Source organism: Homo sapiens, chromosome 13 (genome assembly GCF_000001405.40).
Source record: "Homo sapiens chromosome 13, GRCh38.p14 Primary Assembly".
Taxonomy (NCBI): domain Eukaryota; kingdom Metazoa; phylum Chordata; class Mammalia; order Primates; family Hominidae; genus Homo; species Homo sapiens.
In genome coordinates, this window is record NC_000013.11 from 98,420,938 (window position 1) to 98,443,377 (window position 22,440).

Sequence of the window (22,440 nt, forward strand, 5' to 3'; positions counted from 1 at the left end):
CCCGGTCCCTGGGGCTGTGTCCTGTGTATTTGGACCCAAGCAGGGCTGGGACTTGCTATGTGAGCTGGGGTGGGGACAGGATGGGACGAGAAAGACAGATGTGCTTGTGTTTGCAGTGACTTTAGAGGCCTCCAGCCTGTACTCACCACATCGCGTAGAGCTGACCCTCTTTACAATTAGGGATTTGCATCTTCCAACTGCACAGAGGTCTGATGGTGCCAACCCAGAGCCTTCTCTACCATGAACGATGCTGGGGACTTAGAGAGATACGGATGTGGGAAGGAAGGTTCTTTTGACTTTGAAGCTTTAACATCAGTAGATAATAAATAGTTGGCAAAAGAATAGAGAAAGTGAAATAGATGACATTTGGCTTCCATCTCATTCCCCACCGCCCTCGCCCAGCGTCCTCTTCCCAGCCCTTCATTTTCTCTTGGGTAGGGGTGTGTCTATGAGAGAGAGGATATTGCTTGTTACTGATGGAAGCCAGAATCCTCCCCATTTCTTCTCCCGCAATCCAGACTCTCACTAGAATATCTAAATGATGTCCTCTGAACTTAAGTCCTTTATTTCTGTATGTTCTCAAATGGCAGATCCATTCAAAAAATTCTGGAGCCAATTATTTAAGTTCCAGATAACAAGGCCAGGCAATGTGGCTCATACCTATAATCCCAGCACTTTGAGAGACTGAGGCAGATGGATCGCTTGAGTCCAGGAATTCAAGGCCAGCTTTGACAAAATAGTGAGACCCCATCTTTACAAAAACAAACAAATTAGCTGGGATGATGGTGCACACCTCTAGTGGCTACTCAGGAGGCTGAGGCAGGAAGATTGCTTGAGACCAGGAGTTGGAGGCTGCAGTGAGCTATGATGATACCACCACACTCCACCCTGGGTGACAAAGCAAGACCCCATATCTTTAAAAAAAAAAAATTTTTTTTAAGAAAATGGAGGAAGAGGATTTGGTGTTGGAAATAAGATCCTAAAATCTGGAACATTTTGTGTTTGAGATAGGAGATATGGGGTCATTCACATGGAGTGCTCTGGATGGTCTAAGAAATGCATTACCTGGGTCAGCCGTGGTTTGGCATCATGAACCGAAACCACGGCAAATAGGAGGGCTTGTATAGGAAGAAGTAGAGGGTGAAAAGAGAGGACAACCAAAGGATTCCCAAAACACACAGATAGCTTGGGAGCAGCCTGAAGGAGGTGGCCACGAGAATTGAAGGGCTGGCCTGAAGATTAATGAGGGAGTCTGGAGAGGAAAGCTTCCCGTAGCAGATGAGCTTGGAGGGCCACGCAGTGGGGCCGACCAGCCCGGAGAGCCCGAATATAGGAGGAGGGGAGGTGGGCTCTGGTGGTTCAGAGGTTAACAGCTATCTTCCCAGAACCTTTTCAGGGGAGCAGTGGGGAGAGATTCGTTTAATTAGCAGAGGAGCGGTGCCAATTAAAGCAGCTAAGAGAACGCAGAGGACTGAGGATGCTGTGTTGGTGGAAGAGAATGGACCAGGTTGAAGACCACCAGCACACAGGGCAGCAACGAAGACCCAGGAAGGAGCTTGGGGAGCCTGGGGGTGCTCTCTTTTCTTTGATTTTAGAGAAGCTTTAATTACCTAAAAGGTTTGGGTGCCCTCAGTCTTTCCTGTGATGTAATTTGCACTATATGCTTAGTTGGAACCAATAGAATAAATAATGCTGTTGATTGCCTGGAATGTGAAGCCAGGAGCAACCTGTTTCTACTCACGATGACTTTTCTACCTCCTGGGTTTGCTTAATTAAGCGTGTGCATCCTCCTTGCCCTCTTCTGTTCGTCAGAAGATCCTTGATGTATCGGAGATTGAGTCAACAGTCAGGAAGGCTCTGAGTGTCCCAGTGGAAGCCATTTCTCGCGTTGCCGGAGGGTTCTTAGCCACCATATCTGTGGGGTGTCTATTAGTCAGGGTTCTCTAGAGGGACAGAGCTAATAGGATAGATGTATATATGAGAGGAGTTTATTTAGGAGTATTGACTCACACGTTCACAAGGTGAGGTCCCACAATAGGCTGTCTGCAAGCTGAGGAGCAAGGAGGCCAGTCTGAGTCCCAAAGCTGAAGAACTTGGGGTCTGATGTTTGAGGGCAGGAAGCATCCAGCACAGGAGAAAGATGTAGGCTGGGCAGCTAGGCCAGTCTAGTCTTTCCATGTTCTTCTGCCTACTTTTATTCTGGCCACGCTGGCAGCCGATTAGGTTGTGCCCACCCAGATTGAGGGTGGGTCTGCCTTTCCCACTCAACTGACTCAAATGCTAATCTCTTTTGGCAACACCATCACAGACACACCCAGGATTGATACTTTACATCCTTCAATCCAATCAAGTTGACACTCGATATTAACCATCATAGGGTGTATGTAGATCCCGGGTCCCTCCTGACTTCAGTTGCCGGGTATTTTTTTCCACTTTGAAGATCTCTCACTTCCTATTAGAAGCCTAGTGCCAGTTTTGTTTGTTTGTTTGTTTGTTTGTTTAATTCGTTCCTTTCATGTAAGTTGGCTTCTGGTTTTCCTGAACAGTTGGTTTAAAGATAATTGCCAGGTTGATTGTTGAAAACCATGTTTTAATTGTCTCTGGGAAATTCCTTTCTCAGTGATGGGAAAGTCAGCAGCTATGCACTGGCACAACGGTTAGGCGTGTGGCCTGGGAAACTAGAGCTGGCTCCTGTGCGAGTTCACACCTCGTGATAACAGATATCAGAGAAGTTCGTGGTTTCTTCATGCTTCTGTCTCCTTCACTATAACATGAGGGTGATAGTGGTACCTGCCTCAGACGGTTTCTATGAGGACTAAAAGGGCTCATGACTATAATTAACTTAGCATGGTGTCTGGTACATGGACAGTACTTAGTAAATACTCACTACCATCCATGTTTTTATATTTCTCTCTGCGTTGATCCGTTGAAAGGTGTACGTGTACCCCAAACCTCACTGAAAGTGCCCACAGCTTTGCTGTCTAGCACCCAATATGTCTGGGGGACCATGGCCCTCCCCTCCACGCCTCTCTCTCTTCCTGGGCCACACACCCTACCCTATTCTATGGCATTTACGTCACTCCCACCTTAGGTACCATCTCCTGTCCTTTCTCAGTTATGCATTTCTCTTCCCAAGGGCTATGGACAGCTATTGGTCTGCTTCAGGCAAGGGCTCTTAGAAGCAGAAACCTTCCTCTGGGGCTGAGTCTTGCTTCCTGCAGGTGTCTAGCAGTACCCATCTCTAGGATGGAATCTGTTTACAAGCTACTTATTGCAAATGATCTCTGTGCTGACCTAATGATGCTAAAATCACCCAAGTGTGGATGGAAAAAAATTAATCTAAAATCAAACTCCAGTGTGCAGATGGGTAGAGTAAAATAATTAAACCAAATTAAAAGGATTGGAAATTGGTTCTCTCTTGTCTCTTTCAAAGCATAAGTGGAATTCTTTGCAGGATGAGTGGGGTAATTTCCAAGTCTCCTTCCAACGATAACATTCCATGACCCCATAAGAAGTTCAGGAGATGTCCGGGGAGGGGTGATTGGAAAGGAAGCGGTAGGCTGATATTTGTAACCCAGGGCTGTCATGTCACTACTGATGCTTTGTATTTCCAACCCTTTGCTTTTGCTCTCAGGGAAGGCCGCTCAAATGCCCAAATCAGAGATTACCAAAGAATCGGCGATGTCATGCTGAAGAACATTCAGGGCATGAAGGTGAGCTGGTTGAGATTTGGGTGGAGCAAGGTTCACCAAGGAGAATCGAGCGGGGCTGCCATGGGCATAGGCTGTAAGCCATTTCCATCAGCATGCATCACCTGATTTGACTCTCTACACCAAGCTTGTCCAACCCACCGCCGAGCAGCAGCTTACAGCCCAGGACGGCTTTGAATGTGGCCCAACACAAATTCATAAACTTTCTTAAAACATTATGAGATTTTCTTTTTGGTGATTTTGGGGTTTTTTTTTTTTCTTTGCTCATCAGCTATCGTTAGTGTTAGTGTATTTCATGTGTGACCCAAGACAATTCTTCTTCTTCCAATGTGGTCCACGGAAGCCAAAAGATTGGACACCCCGGTCTAATCTAAGGCACATCAGGAAGATGGCTGTTCGGCAAACCCTTCTCCAACCTTTCTAGATAATTTTATTTCAAAGCATGAATGAAAAGCCAATCACTTTAGCGAAAGCATTTTTAGTAGGTTTTTTTGTTTCAAAAGTTTTGCATTATACCCAAAACAAGTGTTTTCTGTGAATGGATGATTCAAAACTTCAAAAAAAAAAAAGATGTGGACAAACACTGTCTGACTGAACATTTCATTTTCAGTCAGTTGTTTTGGTTTCTTCTAATAACCATGACAAAAATGTTGGATTCAGAGCTGTGTAGGTATTTCAGTAAATTCTATGACTTTAAATCAGTGTACGAGGCAAATATAGTTTTTTTTTTTTGTTTGGTTGGTTTTGTTGTTGTTGTTGTTTTTGAGATGGAGTTTTGCTCTTGTTGCCCAGGCTGGAGTGCAATGGCGCGATCTCGGCTCACTGCAGCCTCCGCCTCCCAGGTTCAAGCCATTCTCCTGCCTCAGCTTCCCAAGTAGCTGGGACTACAGGTGCGCACCACCACACCCAGCTAATTTTTGTGTTTTTAGTAGATATGGGGTTTATGTTGGCCAGGCTGATCTCAAACTCCTGACCTCGGGTGATCTACCCACCTCAGCCTCCCAAAGTGCTGGGATTATAGGCATGAGCCATCACCCCTGGTCGCAAATATGTTTTTAATCATCCAGCAATATCTACAATCAATGACATAAAAGTGAAAGTATATCCAAAGAAGTCAATAAATATTAAATTAATACTCTACCACATTTAAAAAGTCTGCCCCATCTCTTATATCTGAAATCTTCCTTTTTTTGTTTTCATTTGAATCCATTAATAATTCCTTTAACATAAAATGTTTTAATTCACACAGCGTCTCTTTTGAATATACCTGTACTCACATTTTAAAGCAATCTTCCTGAATCTTAACTGCCCAGAGCCTGTATGACAACCTTAAAAACTAATAACTGCCCAGAGAAGCTAGCAACCCCTTAAAGAAGGTGCTCATACTGCCCCCATTTCAATCCATCCATCCACCTGTCCATCCACCCAGTGCTAACTGAGCACCTACTATACACAAGACACTCATAGAATGAAATTACCATTAGGGTTTGTCTTAATTCCCATAATCCTAGCTAAGTGGGTTAGCATTTAGTTTTTTCCCATTAAAATGATGTATCTCAGCCGGGTGTGGTGGCTCATGCCTCTGATCCTAGCAATTTGGGAGGCTAAGGTGGGAGGATTGCTTTGAGCCCAGAAGTTTGAGAGCAGCCTAGACAACATAGCAAGACTTGTCTCTATGAAAAATAAAAAAACATTAGCTAAGAGTGATGGTAAGTGCCTGTAGTTCCAGCTACTCAGGGGGCTGAGGGGAGAGGATCACTTGAGCCCAGCAGGTTGATGCTGCAGTGAGCCATGATCGCGCCACTGCACTCAAGCCTGGGCAACAGAGCAAGACCCTGTCTCAAAAATAAATAATAAATAAGCAAAGATGAATCTCGTGAGGGAGAGACAAGAGGAGGATGGTCGGTGAGTAGCACAGAAAAGACAGGATCAATTGCCACTCAAGGGATTTCCTGTCAATCTCTCTTAACAAAGACCACGGTAACATTGACTGGATCCTGAGGTATTGTTTTGTTTTTTCACTGTGTTCAAACAGCAACCCTTTGCAATTTGAGGCAATACCAGAGAGAGGCCGTGGAAGTGATCAGGGTTGCAGAATGCTATGCAAAAAAAGAAAAGCAAGAATTACCTAAGATGTTCCATAGCCACAGTATTTTGAATGGCATGAGCTATGGCTGAGGCACAACAGATAGAAGGATAACAGACATCTTTTCCACTTTCCATGGGAGTTTCTGAAGTTAACGTATTTTATCTTTCAAAGCAATTTTAGCTTTACAGAAAACTTGAGGAGAAAGTACAGAGTTCTCGTATTCTTCCGTCCACCCCTAAACACACAGTTTCCCCTGCTATTAGCGTTTTGCATTGGCGTGGTGCTCGTGTGGAAACTGATGAACCAATACTGACAAGGTTGACCATTAGGGCCCCCTCTTGGTGGTGTACATTCTCTGGGTGTTGACAAATATATAATGACAGGGATCCACAGAACAGTTTCCCTGCCCTAAAACTTCCCTGGGCTCCACCTATTCATCCCCCTTAGATGCCCCCCAAATCCCTGGCAACCACTGACCTTTTCCCATCTCCATAGTTTTATCTTTCCAGATGTCACATAGCTGGGATCAGACAGTATGTAGTCACTGCAGACCGGCTTCGTTTGCTTTTCAAAAACGTCCTTTTTCCTCTCTCATGTAACAGGACGCTGTTTCTGTTGTTCTCTCCCATCTTTTCCCTCGTTTCACATGCTCTGTACTTTTTCCAAGGCCGTTCTGGTTTCTCAGCTTTTCTCCCTGTGTTCTTCAATCTGAGATCACAGCTCCCCAGGGAGGCGCCCTCTTCAAGGAGGCTTGGACTCTGGTGTGGGCCTTTGGGGACAGCAGCAGAGACCTGCCAGGTTCATCTCCACCCGCGGGGACAGTCCCCAGTGTGGTGCTGTTCAGCAAGTGTCCTTCGTGCCTTCTCCAGGTTGTGTGCCAACTCCCACCACTGCTTTTCCTCAGAGGCTGACATCCCACCCTCCCCTACCCTAACCCAGCGCAGAAGACCACCTAAAAATACACCTGATATCCGCTCCTGGCGTTCTTTCTCCTCGGTCTGGGGAGCTGGCATTTCTGCATTCAGCCAGCTTCCCCTGCTGTGCTGGCATCTCAGGAGTGTGCTGATGCCATGAGCGTTTATAGCATGGAGCTCTGTGCAAGCAAAATAAAAATAGACGGAGAGGTTGCTGAGAGTCACTGGCAGCCTTTTTGAGAAGTTAGTTGGGGTTTTTTTTAATTGCTGTTTTTATTGTTTTAAAGAATTTCTATAAAGCATGGAGGGGCACAGCAGAAGTTTCCAGAAATGTGAGAAGCCCAGGCCAGCACTGTTGTCCAAATGCTTAGAGTGTTCTCGAGCCTGCAGTGTCTTTCCCGCTTCGCTCCCACCCCCGACCCGTGCACTCACCTGCTGTCATCAGTCTCAGCCTGATTGGCTCTTCCCAGACTCTGCACACAGGAGTGAGGTCACACAACCAAGGGAGGGTAGTCCAGGGTCTTTAACCACCTCCACAGAGTCAGAGACACCCAAATCAGGATCTCCAGCCCACGCTGTGAATGTCCACTTGCACACATCCATCCAGACGCACAAAAACGCTTGGAAATCAATGCAAAGAAAGGGCCTTTCATCCTGACCTTCACCTGCTTGGCAAGTGGGGACCTTCATTCCTTCCTGTATCGCCTGTCTCTCCAAGCTTCTACCACCTGTACCTCTTTCTGACACTTCTACCACTTTGCTTCTCCTGGCTCTCTGTTTTCTTCCTGCTAGGCGACCAGGCCAGCTTCCCAATGAGTCACCTCCCACCAACCCAGCCTTCCAACCCACTACTTATATGATGGCTGGAGTCACTGTTCATACAACACAAAACTGACAGCGCAAAGCCCTCCTGGTTTCTCTATGGTTTGGAGAATGCAGTCCAAACTCTAAACCTAGTGAAGAAAGCCTCTGCTCTAGTCCTAGGCTGTCTCTCCAGACCCTGCTCCCAACCCTTCACCTTCCACCCTGCCTTCCGGCCACCGTCAACTCATGTGTCCTCCCAAGACCTCTGCCTTGGCCTGGGTGTGTGCATTGCTTCGTTGGCTCTTTGGTATATACAGGGAAGACCTTTGGACACCCACTGTGTATGCCAGGCCCCCAAGGATGTGACGACATGCCAGGATGTTACAACATGATGATGCCCTCTCAAAATCAAATAGGGGACCACACGTGTGATAGCATCGCACAGAGCGACACACACATGCACGCACATGCACGCACACACATGCAAGAGCGTGTATAACTGGTGCAATCTGAATAAGCTCTGTGGGCTGTACCAATGTCAATTTCCTGGTGTTGATATTGTACTCTAGTTTTGCAGGATGTCACCATTGAGGGAGGCTGGGTGAGGGGTGCACAATCCCTCCCTGTATGTTTCTTTGCAACTTCCTATGAATGTCTATTTCAAAACAGAAAGTCATGAAATCAACCCAGCAGGGAGGCTGTGTGATAAGGGCGGTTGTGGAAAGACACAGCAGTGAGTGCGGGAGGATGCAGGAGTACAGAGCAGGGCAGGCCCCGGAGTAACCCCGAGGGATGGGGGGTCCTCAGCAGGGGTCACTGTGTGCAGAGTCTCTGGGTGCGAGAGTGTGCCGCATTTGGATGCAGGGCGGTCAGTGGGTGGCTCAGGGTGAGTCGCAAGCGTCAATGCCAGAGAGGTCAGAGGGATCCCGGCTTAAGGGGAGTCTGTTGAGTGGCATTGCAGAAAGTTCATTCAAGGGGCTCAACTCACAGTGAAGTGGAAGGGGCTGGAGACCACACAGCCAGAATGAGAACAGTGACCATGGGAAAGAAGACAAGGGCAGGTCCCACATTTTCTGGAGGACAAATTGATAGGACTTGGGGACGGGTTCATACAAGGAAAGAATGTGGAGTGTACCCCAGGTTTTAATGTCGTGAGTACCTGGCTGGTGGTGGTACCCATCCTGAAGTTAGAGAATAAATGCGGGGGCCCCAGCTGAGGCAGGAGGAAGTGGGCATGTGTCTGGACAGCTGTGTTTCCAGCTTTTTCCGGGGCGTGGGAGTGGAGAAGCCACTGAGGTTGGGCCATAGCCTGGATGAGAAATCTAGATCTGGTGCCGCATTTTCCTCTCTGACTTGGGCTACTCGCCTGTGCCAGATACTACCATAGGCTTTTCTACAAAAACAAGTCAATTACAAAACCTTTCATCATTTTGTGCCTTTTATATCTATAGACATGTATACAAATATACACCCACATACATGATAGAAGAATCTAGATTTCAGGCCGGGCGTGGTGCCTCATGCCTGTATTCCCAGCACTTTGGAAGGCCAAGGTGGGAGGATCACTTGAGGCCAGGAGTTTGAGACCACCAGCCTGGGCAACATAGTGAGACCCTGTCTCTAAAAATAAATAAATAATTTTTTTTTAAATTAGCTGGGTGTGGTGGCTCAAGCCTGCAGTCCCAGCTGCTCGAGGCTGAGGCAGGAGGATCCCTTGAGCCCAGGAGTTCGAGGCTGCAGTGAGCTGAGATTGCGCCACTGCACTCCAGCCTGGGCAATAGAGCGAGACCCTGTCACAAAAAATAAAAATTCAGATTTGGGAGTTACCAGCACATAGAGAGCAAGCCCACTCTGGGAGGTGATTATCAAGTGAGACTTGAAGAAAGCAAACTCGGTTTTTGTGTCCTGGGGTGTCCCCTGTCCTCTGCTCTCCCCCTATCTGCCTGGAAGTGTCCTTGCCTTGGGAGTCCTCCCTCCCACCCAGGTGAATTCATTCCTCCTTTAATGCTCTGTCATCCAAGCGCTTACTCTGTCCCCATCCCCACCATGACTCCAGGAGAGTCAGGGCGCTGTCTGACTCTCATCCATCTCCCCAGACCTAGCAGAGGAGGGGCTCACATAGCTGCTTAGCTACTGTCTGAGCAGACGGGGCGAGGGAAGCAGAACTGTGGTTTTAAAACGATGTAATGCTCACTGACGGCCCCTGGGCTGTTTGTTATCTGAAGACATTTAGAAGAAAACCACAGCCCTCCTTAAGGAGCTCCTGTTGATATATTTGTCCCCAGTTTTTCCAGGCTCAATTTTAAAGGAACATTTATACCTCTGATGTTATATACATAGCTTATATATTTTATGATCCATGTGTATTTTAAACTGCTCAGTACCTTAATAGGCCTTTTTATTTCATCCTGAGAACTTAAGTGAAATAACAAAAAGAGTGAACTATGAACAATGTGAAATTTAAGGAAATTAAACAAATCGTGAAATAGAGAGTGCAGGAGCGCTTCATTTCCCCAAGTGAAACTGGGCAGAACACAGGTGCATCCCATTCAGCTGAACAGGACCCTCCTCCTCTGTTGCCTCCCAAGCACCTGGCGGCTCACCTGTGGAAGCACAGCGAGGCCTTGGAGGCCCTGGAGAATGGAATCAAGAGCTCCCGGCGGCTGGAGAACTTCTGCAGAGACTTTGAGCTGCAGAAGGTGTGTTACCTACCGCTCAACACCTTCCTCCTGCGGCCACTGCACCGGCTCATGCACTACAAGCAGGTCCTGGAGCGGCTGTGCAAACACCACCCGCCGAGCCACGCCGACTTCAGGGACTGCCGAGGTGAGTGCTGGGAGCCTGCGCCACCTGGTGCCCATGCCACAGTTCAGGCCGGGTGCTCCCAGACTGAGCCCAGCCAGGGAGGGGCTCCCCGGGGAGAGAGGTCAGCTGATGCTGGGTCCCAGGTTTTCATCAGGGTGGGCGCCGGTTTTTATTCCTGCTCTGGTGTTTGGTTACATCTTGATTTTTTTTTTTTTTTTTTGAGACTGAGTCTCACTCTGTCGCCCAGGCTGGAGTGCAATGGTGCGATCTCGGCTCACTGCAACCTCCACCTCCCGGGTTCAAGCGATTCTCCTGCCTCAGCCTCTGGAGCAGCTAGGATTACAGGCGCCCGCCACCACGCCCGGCTAATTTTTGTATTTTTAGTAGAGACGGGGTTTCACCGTGTTGGTCAGGCTGGTCTCGAACTCCTGACCTTGTGATCCGCCCGCCTTGGCCTCCCAAAGTGCTGGGATTACAGGCGTGAGCCACGGTGCCCGGCCACATCTTGATCTTTCCGTAAAGAAGGTGCTGATGATCGTCAGGACCCCTTTCTTCCTTTGCCTCTTGCATGCATTTTCTCCTTTGGTTCCTGGGTGGTTTTGTGCAAAGATCCCTAGAGAAGCTCCGCTTACAGTTAGCCCCCACCCAGGAAGCTTGCTTCTACCCACGTGACGGAAACTCATCCCTCTACCATGGCCACAGAACATAGCTTGTAAGAAATCCTGTTGCTCATTGCTACCGGTCATTTGTAATGTGCCCATCAGCATAATGAGCATCTCTCCTGTATTAACTCTTCCCAAGCCTCAGGCACAGGTGAGTTCATCTTACATATGGGGACTACGGAGACTAGAGAGGTTAAGGAACCTGCCCAGAGTCACACAGCTTGGAGGGAAATGATTTGGAACCTAAATCTAGAACCCATGGTCACAACCGTCCTGCCCTTCTATCTCATGGACAGTCCTACCCGCTCGTACTTGCTCAGCCCCAGGCCAGGTGCTGTGTACCTGATACTGTACCAACGTTCACACCATTACTCCTTTAAGGACCCCTTTAGATCAATTGCATTATCCCATTTTACAGAGCGTGACGCTGAGACTCAGGGGAAGGGACTTGCTGGGTCACTCAGAGGTCAGAGCCGCATTCCAGACCTGCTTTTCCCACGGGGCCACGCGTGCTCTTCTGAACGGAAGTCGTTGTGTCTGGTGTCACAGTTGGTCTGTGGGTGTCTGCCCTCCCTGGCCTAGCATGCGGAGTTGGCCCTGCGTAGGTGGCTCCCGCACAGGTGGCCCGAATCCACACACCCACTAGGAGGGCAAGGCCCTTATTCCTTGCCTGAAATGTCAGAAACACCTCCCAACTCTTTAGCCAAAACTGTCATCTTTTTTAAAAATCCATCTTCTTACACCTTGGCTTAAAACCTGGGTGACGGCTGACTGCCTCAGGCTAAAATCGGAAGTCTTCATGACCTGGCCTGGCCAGCTCTCACACCCCAGCTGCGCAGCGAGCACCTGTACTGGGCGTGTGAGGGAGAAGGAACAGTGCGGCCCCTGACCTCACAGGACCCACTGGAGGGTCTGCAGGCAGGTACCTGGGTGCTGGAGGGTCTGCAGGCAGGTACCTGGGCAGTGGCAACCCTGCACTAGGGCCGTGAGAGAGAAGTGGACGGTGCAGTTGGAGCCGGGGCGTTAGGGGGTGTTGGGGGGATCTCGAAGGGAAATGGTGTCTAAGTTCAGAACTAACATGTAAATAGGAGTTTTCCTGGGTGAAAGGAGGGTGTGGAGAATAGAGTTAGAAACAGCACAAGCTCAGGTTCAGAGGGGACAGAGACCGGAACATTGCCAAAAGCGTGCAGGGCACAGGGAGAGCCACAAAGTGAGGCTGCGACAGAAAGCAGCGGCTACATCCCACTGCGCCCCATGGACCCCGCAAAGCCGTAACCTAAGAGCAGAGGCCGAACAGGAAGTGTTTTAAGGAGGGAAACAGTGATACCAGGCTTGTTCTAGAAAAACCGTTGTTAATATCTAGAATATATGGCGGACTCCTACAAATTAGTTGTTAAAAAAAGGCAACCCAATAGGTAGAAGACTTGGCAAAGTAATTGAGACAGTGACAGTTCACAGAAGGGGAACACAGGTGCCTCCTGACATGGTTTGTCATTGACCATCTGTCTTTAAAACAAACCATGCTGGCCAGGGGTGGTGGCTCACACCTGTAATCCCAGCACTTTGGGAGGCCAAGATGGGAGGATCACTGGAGGCTGGGAGTTCAAGAGCAGCCTGGGCAACACAGTGAGACCTTGTCTCTACAAAAAATTTAAAAATTACGAGCATGCACCTATAGTGCCGGCTACTCAGGAGGCTGAGGTGGGAGGATCGCATGAGCCCAGGAGTTGGAGGCTGCAGTGAGCTATGATTGCACCACAGCCCAGGCGACAGACCTAGACCCAGTCTCTAAAAACAAAACCATGCTGCCTCTTGCCTCCACACCTTGGTGCATTCCGTTCCTTCTGCTTAGAGTCCTGGCCACCACCTCCTTGGCCTTTCCTGGCCAGCTCTCTCTCGTCCTTTAAGCCTCAGCTTGTGCCTGGCACCTGATGTTGAGCTGACCTCCTGTCCGCCTTGTCCTGTCACACTGGCATTGCCTGTGTGTTGGCCGAGCCCGGAGGAAAGGACCCAGGGCCCCTCCTGGCTCTGAGGACTCCTCAGATCTGTCGCCCATGGGGGTGAGAGCGGTGTGTGGTTTTGAAGGCGCTGTTCTTGGCGGACTCATCCAGTTCCACTCTGCTATTTCTCTAAACAGTACCCAATGGAGATAGGCTATCCTTGATGATTGAGGAAGAGAGTGCTAGCTAGCTTAAAGCATGAAGTGGCAGCACTGTAGGAGCCTAGGTTTCCAGAGCTAGAGGGACACTGAATGCCAAGGGCTGTTCCCAGCACGCCCCTGCCCCTGAGCACCGGGGGCCGGGGTGCCATCATTCCATCATTTTCCTCTCAGAGCTCCCCACTACCCCCCAGCCCTGCCACTGAGCACTGGATGCCAAGTAAATGTTTATTGGACCAAACTGGGTGGTCATGTCTGAAAATCGAGCAAGGCCTGGGATTTGTCACTATGGCTGAGACCGCATTCTCTGATAAGCCTGGGAGAATTTAACTCGCATCCTTGGGGGAAAAAACAAGAAAACTAAATGCTTCCCTTCCAACACTGAAATGCTGGGGGAAAGCAGTGAAAGAGGTATTTAGAGTTCTGAAGACTGAAGTTCAGTCAACAAGTATTTCTTGCTTTTCTTGACCAAACTACCCAAGTGCTCAGCCGCTGGGGACTTGAGTGCCACCCAAACTTGTCAGCCACTGGGGACTTGCGTGCCACCCAAGCTTGTATTAATCAGGCACTAGCTTCTTTTAAATATTGGATGCCCACCAGTATAGGGGAGCCGTGCCTCTATCGAAAAATAAAGGCCTGATGTGGTGGCTCATGCCTGTAATCCCAGCACTTTGGGCGGCCAAGGCGTGTGGATCGCCTGAGGTCAGGAGTTCGAGACCAGCCTAACCAACATGGTGAAACCTTGTCTCTACTGAAAATACAAAATTAGCCGGGCGTGGTGGCACGCACCTGTAATCCCAGCTACTCGGGAGGCTGAGGCAGGACAATCACTTGAACCTGGGGGCAGAGGTTGCAGTGAGCTGAGATTATGCCATTGTACTCCAGCCTGGGCAACAAGAGCAAAACTCTGTCTCAAACAAATAAAAGAAAAGAAAAAATTTGAATTCTACAGCAATTCTTCACAACCATCTTGGTAAACAGTGTAATTTCCACACAAGACAGAACTGGGGTGTGGTGGAATGTTAGTTACCTGGAATATACTGACACTTCACAATATCAATTACACCTCCTCCCAAGGAGGTGCTGACTTTGCTCCAGATTTTTCTATGGCCTCTTTGTGCTCACTGTGCCTTGTTCTTTCCGAGTAACAGGAGGGAAAAGAAAAGTCTCTACCCAGGGACAAAATTCAAGGCAGTCTTCTTCCCCCGTGTCTTTCCCCTCTAAGCCAACAGGTCCGTCTAATTGAAGGACAGCTGTATGCCACGTCACCATGCAGGGGTCACTTAGTTTTAAGATGCTAAAGTGAAGCAAATAAATACAGAAAATACACCATCAATTTTTATTATAGAGAAATAGCACTGTTTTTGCTCAAAAGACACCTTTGAATACTGTGCAGGGACTGGAGTGATTTCCCTGCAGCGTTGAGCTGACAGCTGCTAGGGGAAGACCCCTGCCTGCCTTTCCCGCTGCAGACTGTGTATGTCTTTCCTTCACAGCCGCTTTGGCAGAGATCACGGAGATGGTGGCACAGCTCCACGGTACGATGATCAAGATGGAGAATTTCCAGAAGCTGCACGAACTCAAGAAAGATTTGATTGGCATTGACAATCTTGTGGTTCCGGGAAGGGTAAGCAGCAGTGGCCTCACTATGCACTGCGCGGGGAGCAGAAAGGAGGCATCGGAGGGACTTACATTTGAACCTTTTGAAGAGAGACCCTTGCAAAGCAAAATGTCCTCTTTCCATCCACCTGGGAGACAACTGGAAAAACACAACAGTGTCGTTAGTTCAGAATCATTGTGTTCGGAGGAGATAAAGCAATCCTCTGACCTCATATTCTGCTTTTTCTCCTTACGGGGTGATTCGCTTCTTTACCTTTTCCCCTACCATATCCCACAGAAGATTTGAGATTGCTTATTTTATTTTTTTTAAATGTACATAAATGAAAATGGAAAATTAAAAAAAAAATTAGGTAAATAGTAATAAAGCCAGAAAGGTAGTGCATTAAATTATGCTAGAAATTCCCATGCAGGTATGAAGTGTTTTTTTAAAATTCAATCTTCCATATATAATTTAATTTGAGTTCAAAATTAAAATACCAAATCTTAGCTGGAAAGCAATTCCAGGAGAGATGCAAGTTCACTGACACTGTCGCCTACCCCTCCCCAGCCCCCTGCCTGAGATGCAGGTGATTCCTACTCAACAGGGCTTCCCGCACACACTCCTTCCAGGCCAGTGACAATGTGGAGGACAGGAACAAAGCCTGCCTTCTCCACTTCCCTTCCTAGAAAGCCATCATCACCCAGGAATCAAACGTATCATTCAGTTGCTGCGTCTCATCAAATCTCTCTCTGGGATCTTTACCCTGTGGCGCCCCCATTTCAAATGCTACGTCACCCAGGTCGAGAGACAACTCACTGTAGCTGCTTTGATCTGCTGCTGCAGGATCCAGTATCTCAGGGGCTTTTAGTCTTTTTCCAACAAGCAGCTGCCCTGGAAACTTGACATCTGTAACTCAGGGCAGGGGAAGGAAGCTCTCCTTGTTTTGGAGCATTTCTGTCAGGAAGCCTAATTACAGAACTGACCAGAAGCCACGTTGTGAGAGATTGTCAGAAGAGCCATGCGGTAAGCGCTGGCAGAAATTAGAGCTGGGATGGCCTCAGCTCTGCTGGTGACAAGATCCTGCCAGGCCTCGGCACTTAATGACCTTATTTACCCATCCACACGGAACCCTCAGAAAAGCCCTGTGGAATCGATGTAATTTTCTCTCAGCTTTGAAAGTTATAAAATATTTAGCATCTCATGCTACATGGTGAACAGACCACTGATAAAGAATTCCTTTTTTTGAGGAAATGTTTTCCACTGCAATGGAAAGAACCTTGGATTGGAGGAGGTGGCCCTGGGTTCAAAGTCTCGCTCTACCAGTGCCGGGGTGGCGGGGGACCATGCACATGGAGACCATGGCCTCTCCCTCATAGGTCATTAAGATCAAATGAGATTTGCTCTGTGAAAATGACATAATACATATTAATTATCTTCGTTTTCCCCCACCTACATTTAATTGAAGAGATGAAAGGTAGCCATAGAATAGTGGCATTAACTACATTGCAGAGCACAACGGGAAGCATTTTGCTCTATCACACACTGGCCGATCAGGTGATGATGGGCAAGTTTCTTAATCATTTGCCCCTCAGTCTCCTTATCTGAAAAATGGGAATAATGATACTGAAGGTGCAGGCTCACGTCTGGAGCTCCTGTAATCGCTCCGTGTCGCAGGTGATCAGTGATTATCTGAGGCTGGTGGTGCAGGCGGTAAGAATTATTTACGAAGACAGTTATAGATAAAGAAAGGCAGGCTTATTCGAGAAGTAGGAAAATACATTGCCAGAAAGCAACAGCAAGAAAGCAACAGCAAGGGAGGAGCTGACTGCAAGGAGACAAAGGCTTGCTGGGGATTTTTACCGGGTGGTGTCTGTGCTGTGTGCCCAGGAGGGCTTCGTGCAGGGTGATAACGCCGCGGTTGCAGCGAACTCACTTGCGTTTTTCTATCAGCCAAGGCTCTGGTGATAGCTGGGCGCAGGAAGATGGTGAGTTATCTGTGCAGGAGGGCTGTGTCCTGGACCGTGAAGAAAGGCAGACCTGTATAGCTTCTCCGCTTTGTCTTTTTGCTTTCTCTCGGTCCCACCAGCCTGGCTCCTTTTCCCTTATTAGGACTCCACACTTAGGACAAGCCAGGCGCATCCCATGTGCTCCAGAGAGGAGGCCATTGTTATTAGTAAAGGTGAAGATGGAATTGGGGTACTCCTTCCTAAGCTCAGATGATCCCCTGATTCTTGGCACTCATCAGGCCGCCACACATCCACTCATTGTTTCAAATCAACCCTGAGCAGAATGGGAAGGTGGGATCGGAGGCGCCTGAGGGAGCACGTTCTGGAAGTAGATGGTGGCGATGGTGGGGCTACCTTGTGAGTCCACCAAGGCCACACATGCTCAAGTGTTTGTGGATTCTACCACAATTTAAAAATGATCATTTTTTTGTTTTTAAGTGCTTGTGCCCCTGCGATCCATGCCCTCAAGAGTGTACAGCCCCGGGGAGGATGTCACTCGGGAGGCAGAGGTGCCTTGGACACATCTGCCTCTCACTCCTTTATCCTCAACGCAGTTACTGCTCATTGAGAAGCAGGGTTTTCAATCATGGAGAAGCTTCCTCCAGCCACAGTGCTCCCATGTGGCCTCTCGGTCCTCAAGGGTCCCTTGCTGCCACTTTTTATAGCCTCTTTCTTCTTTGAGAACTGCTTGGGGTCCTTCTGATCTCCCTCACCGTGGGGAGCCCTGGGGATCCTGGGGTTACACACATGGTCCTCAGAGAGGCCCGGGCACTCTTGAACCCGACCGTCCGTATCCTTTGTTGGGGGAGCTGCTGGTGGTACCTGCCCTGTACCTTCCTGGGGAGGAGACAGATGATCCCTAGAGAGGGTTTAGCACAGCACCTGGGGCAGAGCAATGGTGCAGTGAATCGCAGCTGAGTGCTGTAACTTCCACCATGCAAGGGACCCAGGTGGGAGGAAGCCAGTAGGTTTGCACGCTCGCAGTCCGTTCTTGGGGTCTGCACGCTCGCAGTCAGCCCTCAGGGGCTACAAATTTAGCCCTCGGGGTCTGCACACTGGCCGTCAGCCCTTGGGGTCCGCACGCTCGCAGCCAGCCCTCCGGTCTGTCTCCCCTGCAGGAGTTCATCCGTCTGGGCAGCCTCAGCAAGCTCTCGGGGAAGGGGCTCCAGCAGCGCATGTTCTTCCTGGTGAGTGGAGAGAGCGGCTTGTCCTCACAAGGATTGTGTCACCTGGGCAAGCAAGGCTCCCAAGGCCGGACCTCGGCCACCCAAGTGAGGGACCTGGGGTAGAGGAAGAGCAGCCAGAGGTGCCCAGGCCCAAGTTGTTGAGGACAGTGAAGGCACAGTTGAGGACAGGGAATGCTGGAGGGAAGCCTGCTGTCCAAACGTGGTCTCACCTCCACACACTTCTGATTCCTCCAGTTCAACGACGTCCTGCTATACACGAGCCGGGGGCTGACGGCCTCCAATCAGTTTAAAGTCCACGGGCAGCTCCCGCTCTATGGCATGACGGTGAGTACAGCACAGGCTCGTGGCCAGGGCCTGTCCTCGGGGGCAGCAGGTGCGGGCGCTGCTGACCCGGCGATGAGGAGGGAAGGAGACTGGATAGGGAGGGAGAGGGTGGCTAGTGGCATCTTGGTTACAAGACATGGGCTCAAAGACCATCGAAGACCATACAACCCTTTCACCTAAAAGCTCGAGCCTTCTAGGGCTTCTCTAGTGGGGCTCTGGGGACACGGCTCCTTCTCCTGCACATGGGATGTGCAGGTCCATTCCTTATAGAATCGAGTGAAAGGGTAAGCTGACAAGGCCGCGTGGCATGAACTCGCCTCCCACAGCCTGTGCCTGGCCCCAGGGGCCCCGACAGTCCTCGCCACACACAAGGATGACAGCGCCCGCTCCCTGGAGCTGGGCCAGCCACCTCGTCCTCCCCCGAGTTGGTTTGGGGCTGCCTCCTGTCCCCCTTGGCAGGCAGGTGTAGAGGGCGCCTGGGCCTGGGATGTGGCCCTTTGGCTGGTGCCCACGCTGTCCTCCGGGATTGGAGAGAGGGAAGTTTGTGGGCTCTGCCAAAAACATTCAGTGTGCCGCGATCTTCCTGTCGCCTTTCCGATTTGGGTTTTTCCAACTCAGAGTGCCTTCTCCCTCTGTGGGGCTCTGGGTCTCCTGAGCCCTGCTCAGGGGCACCCCTCCTTTTCCAAGTTGCCTGGCTGCCAGCTCAGGGATGTTTGGAAGTGCATCACGTGCCTCATGGTGACGTTATCTTCTCTTGCCCACAGATTGAGGAGAGCGAAGACGAGTGGGGGGTGCCCCACTGCCTGACCCTCCGGGGCCAGCGGCAGTCCATCATCGTGGCCGCCAGGTAACTCGGGAGCCCGCCCCTTGCCTGTTTCCCCTTTGATGTGCTGTGGCCTGAACACCTGACGCGTCTCTGTCTCCAGTTCTCGGTCCGAGATGGAGAAGTGGGTTGAGGACATCCAGATGGCCATTGACCTGGCGGAGAAGAGCAGCAGCCCCGCCCCTGAGTTCCTGGCCAGCAGCCCCCCTGACAACAGTGAGTGTGGCCAGGGCAGCTTTCCCATGCAGGGGTCTGGTTCATGGAGGGACAGCATTTCTGCATCTAAAGCCACCCCATCGGGTAGGCCTCACATCCGTGGTGTACATTTGTGTTTAAAGCCAAAGATCAAGACAGTTCTTTTTCCTAAAAGTAAAACCCCTGAAATCGGCATGAGGGAGCTGGGAAGTCACCTTTTCTGGGCCGGCATTTACCCTTGTCCAGGGAGAGAACATCAGGCTGTTTACACACCCGGGAGGGGCTGGGGCTCTGTGACTGGAGCTGCAGGGTCCATCGAGGCCTCATTAGATTCTGGTTGGGCACCACAGGTTGTGACTGCTGTGAGCCCCCCAACCTTCCAGCACCTCAGAGTGTATCAGGAAGGGGCGCTGGGAGGAAAGATCAGAAGTGCTGCCTTTTGCCCCATCCTGTAGAGTCCCCTGATGAAGCCACCGCGGCTGACCAGGAGTCAGAGGATGACCTGAGCGCCTCGCGCACATCGCTGGAGCGCCAGGCCCCGCACCGCGGCAACACAATGGTGCACGTGTGCTGGCACCGCAACACCAGCGTCTCCATGGTGGACTTCAGCATCGCAGTGGAGGTACGCAGGGGCAGGGCAGCTCTGGTTCCCAGCTTGTGCTGGCCCAGGCAGAACCCAGGCAAACTTCTGGGCCAGGGGCTTGAGGGAGGCTGGGACTGTGGGTGGCCCCACCTACCCGCGGTGGCTGAGCAGGGAAGGATCAACACTGGGCCCCCTTTGGAGCCTGCCGGAGGTATCCCTGCAGGGGTGATGCTGAGTGGGCGCCGACCTCCCACAAATGCAGTCATATCCCTTGGTGCTCATCAGTCCTATTGCCATCCACAAGGTCGTTTTCTCTCTTTCTTCGCCTGTTTTCTTGCCTCTCATGCAGTTAGCCCAGAACACAGGGCCCAGGGCACAGCTGCTGGACAGTTCCATGGCTGTCATGTCCTGAACCGCCCCACGGGAATCTGGTGCATGGGAGGGAGGAGAGTCTGCACGATGGCAAGCAGGTGCCAGCTCCTCCCCATCATGAGGGTCACGGCAGACACTCCTGTGACAAAAGACAGGCTAACAAGGGAAAAGCATGACCAGTTTATTTCATCGTCATTTTACATGACATGGGAGCCTTCAGAATGAAGACCCAGAGGTCCGGCGAAAACCGTCTGTTTTTATGCTTCGCTTCCGTGAAGAACAGGGCGCCGTGGGGAGCTGATGGGACAGGCTGAGAGCTAGTGCCAGGAGGGCGAAAGGAGCCCCGCAGGGCCCCTCCGGGTTTTCTGGGCCTTTCTGAGCAGCGTTCCTTGCTCCGGGGTATGGTGCGGGACCCTTTCTACAGTGGGGGTCTTAGAACCTCTTCTCACACCAGGTGGGCCAGGGAGTAAGTTTATAGCCAGCTCTTACACAGAACGGTGGAGAAAGGTTAGGGTGACCGTTTTTGGTTTTGTGGCTGGCTTTGGGGGAAGGAGGTTCTGGTTTCAATGACCCGCCTTAAGGAAGGGGGAGTCCAGTTTCCGTGGCTCGCCTGGGGAGGAAAGGGGCGAGGCAGGAGGTGGGCAGGGAAGCCTGGCTTCTGAACCTTTCACTTCAGGGTATTGTTTTCTGAGCCCACCACCTGAAAGTTGGCTTTGAAGATGCATCTCTCCCAGATCTTGAATCCTTCCAGACCCTTCCAAATGCCCATTCCCTAAGCATTCTTCAGTCCAGGCCCATAGCTGTGTTTCAGAACACTTCAAGCCCGTGAAGGTGTGAAACAGGAAAGCTTTCTTCATCTCTCACTGGCAGTGGAAGCTGCCCTGAGCTGGGGCGAGGCCATTCATCATTGTGATTGTGTTTTATGTGAATGCTCACGTTTCACCGCAGAATCTCTGCCCCCGCGCCCTCTGCGGGGCTGCTGCAGTCGAGGCAGGACTCCCTTCCAAACGCAGAAAGGGCCAGTTCCCACACAGGCCTGGTCCAAAGAGTGTCACATAAGAGACTCAGGCCAGGACAGGAGTTTGCTGGCTCTTGGAACCAACAGCAGCAGGAATGAGCCAGCAGTGCTTCATGGAGGGTCTCGAGAGAGTCTCGGAATTTATTCTCGGGAAACGACCTTCCCCGTTGCTCAGACCTGCCTTTATTGAGTTTCCTGCTACAAGCCGCTTGTTTCTAAGCCCAGGCCTGCTTCTGAAGACATCCTCAAGGGGACACATCCGAGGTGCAGGCCCTGGCTCCCCCACGGGCACAGCCTTTCTTCCCAGCTGTCCCCACATACGAGGCTCTGTCCCATGGGGTTCCCCTGAGTGTGCAGGTGTGAATATTCCCTCCCCGGGCCTCCTGACAGCCCAGGTGTGAAGAGCACTAAACATTCTTCCCCAGCTTCACACCTCCACCAGGCCTGTGCGCAAAGCTTGCGGGTCTGAGACTTCTCCCAGGGGATGGGGATTATGATAGCAGGAAAGGAGACCCCCGAAGCGGAGGAGCAGGGAAGAACCCGTGATAGGCTCATGGGAAACGAGGCCTCATCAGATCTCACCTGTGGGCGTGTGTCTGAAACGAAGCCAGTCGATGTGTGGCGCCGCCACTGGGGAGGAACCGTCTTGGCCTTGCTTCGTCCTGACCTCAGCAATGTGTGAATTACGACTCTCAAGGCTGGGGTTTGTCATAGGCCTCAAAGCTTTTTACATACCTGGAGGCACCCAGGCCATTCAACGAGGCAGCAAATACCCAAGTGGGGTCCAGGTGGCCCAGAGCCACCTGCAGCCCAGCTTTTTTGGATAACAAATCTACACGGTCGCAGCCTTCCGTGTGCATGATCAGGTCAAGGCACTGAGTCAGGGGCACGCTGGCCCCCAGCCAGATCTAGCCCCGGCCTGGTGGCTTACAGCCTGCGAACCAAGAATGGGTTTCACTTTTTTTTAATGGCTGCTACATAATGTCTTCAGTTTTGCCCCTTGGCCTGCAAAGCCTGAAATATCTGCCGTCTGCCTTTTGAGGAAAAGTTTGCTGACCCTAGTAGAGAGCAGGAGAGTGAGCCACTGGCCAGTGGGGTTTGAAGGTGGCAGTGACCACCTAGTACAGTCAGGGACCTGGGCTGCTCTATCACTTTGCAGATGTCCCTCCTTGCCAGAAAGCCCCCTCCCA

The 22,440-nt window shown here is 50.6% G+C and overlaps 1 protein-coding gene and 1 long non-coding RNA gene across 3 annotated transcripts in view; one reads left to right on the plus strand and one right to left on the minus strand.

Moving 5' to 3' along the window:
• FARP1 (FERM, ARH/RhoGEF and pleckstrin domain protein 1) overlaps positions 1-22,440 on the plus strand; it is a 312,588-nt gene that overhangs the window by 278,349 nt on the left and 11,799 nt on the right. The window contains exons 17-25 of one of the 2 annotated variants that reach the window (NM_001286839.2): positions 3,635-3,713; positions 10,106-10,343; positions 14,639-14,769; positions 16,829-16,921; positions 17,867-17,935; positions 18,170-18,259; positions 19,024-19,106; positions 19,186-19,298; positions 19,733-19,899. In NM_001286839.2, the coding sequence (NP_001273768.1) occupies positions 3,635-3,713; positions 10,106-10,343; positions 14,639-14,769; positions 16,829-16,921; positions 17,867-17,935; positions 18,170-18,259; positions 19,024-19,106; positions 19,186-19,298; positions 19,733-19,899 (1,063 nt within the window). The remainder of the gene's footprint in view (positions 1-3,634; positions 3,714-10,105; positions 10,344-14,638; positions 14,770-16,828; positions 16,922-17,866; positions 17,936-18,169; positions 18,260-19,023; positions 19,107-19,185; positions 19,299-19,732; positions 19,900-22,440) is intronic. The other variant, NM_005766.4, reaches the window with a different exon arrangement.
• Positions 14,468-14,903, minus strand: FARP1-AS1 (FARP1 antisense RNA 1). The gene is made up of 2 exons (NR_046595.1): positions 14,835-14,903; positions 14,468-14,721 (listed from the first exon to the last, which is right to left on the minus strand). It is a non-coding gene; the product is annotated as an FARP1 antisense RNA 1 (long non-coding RNA).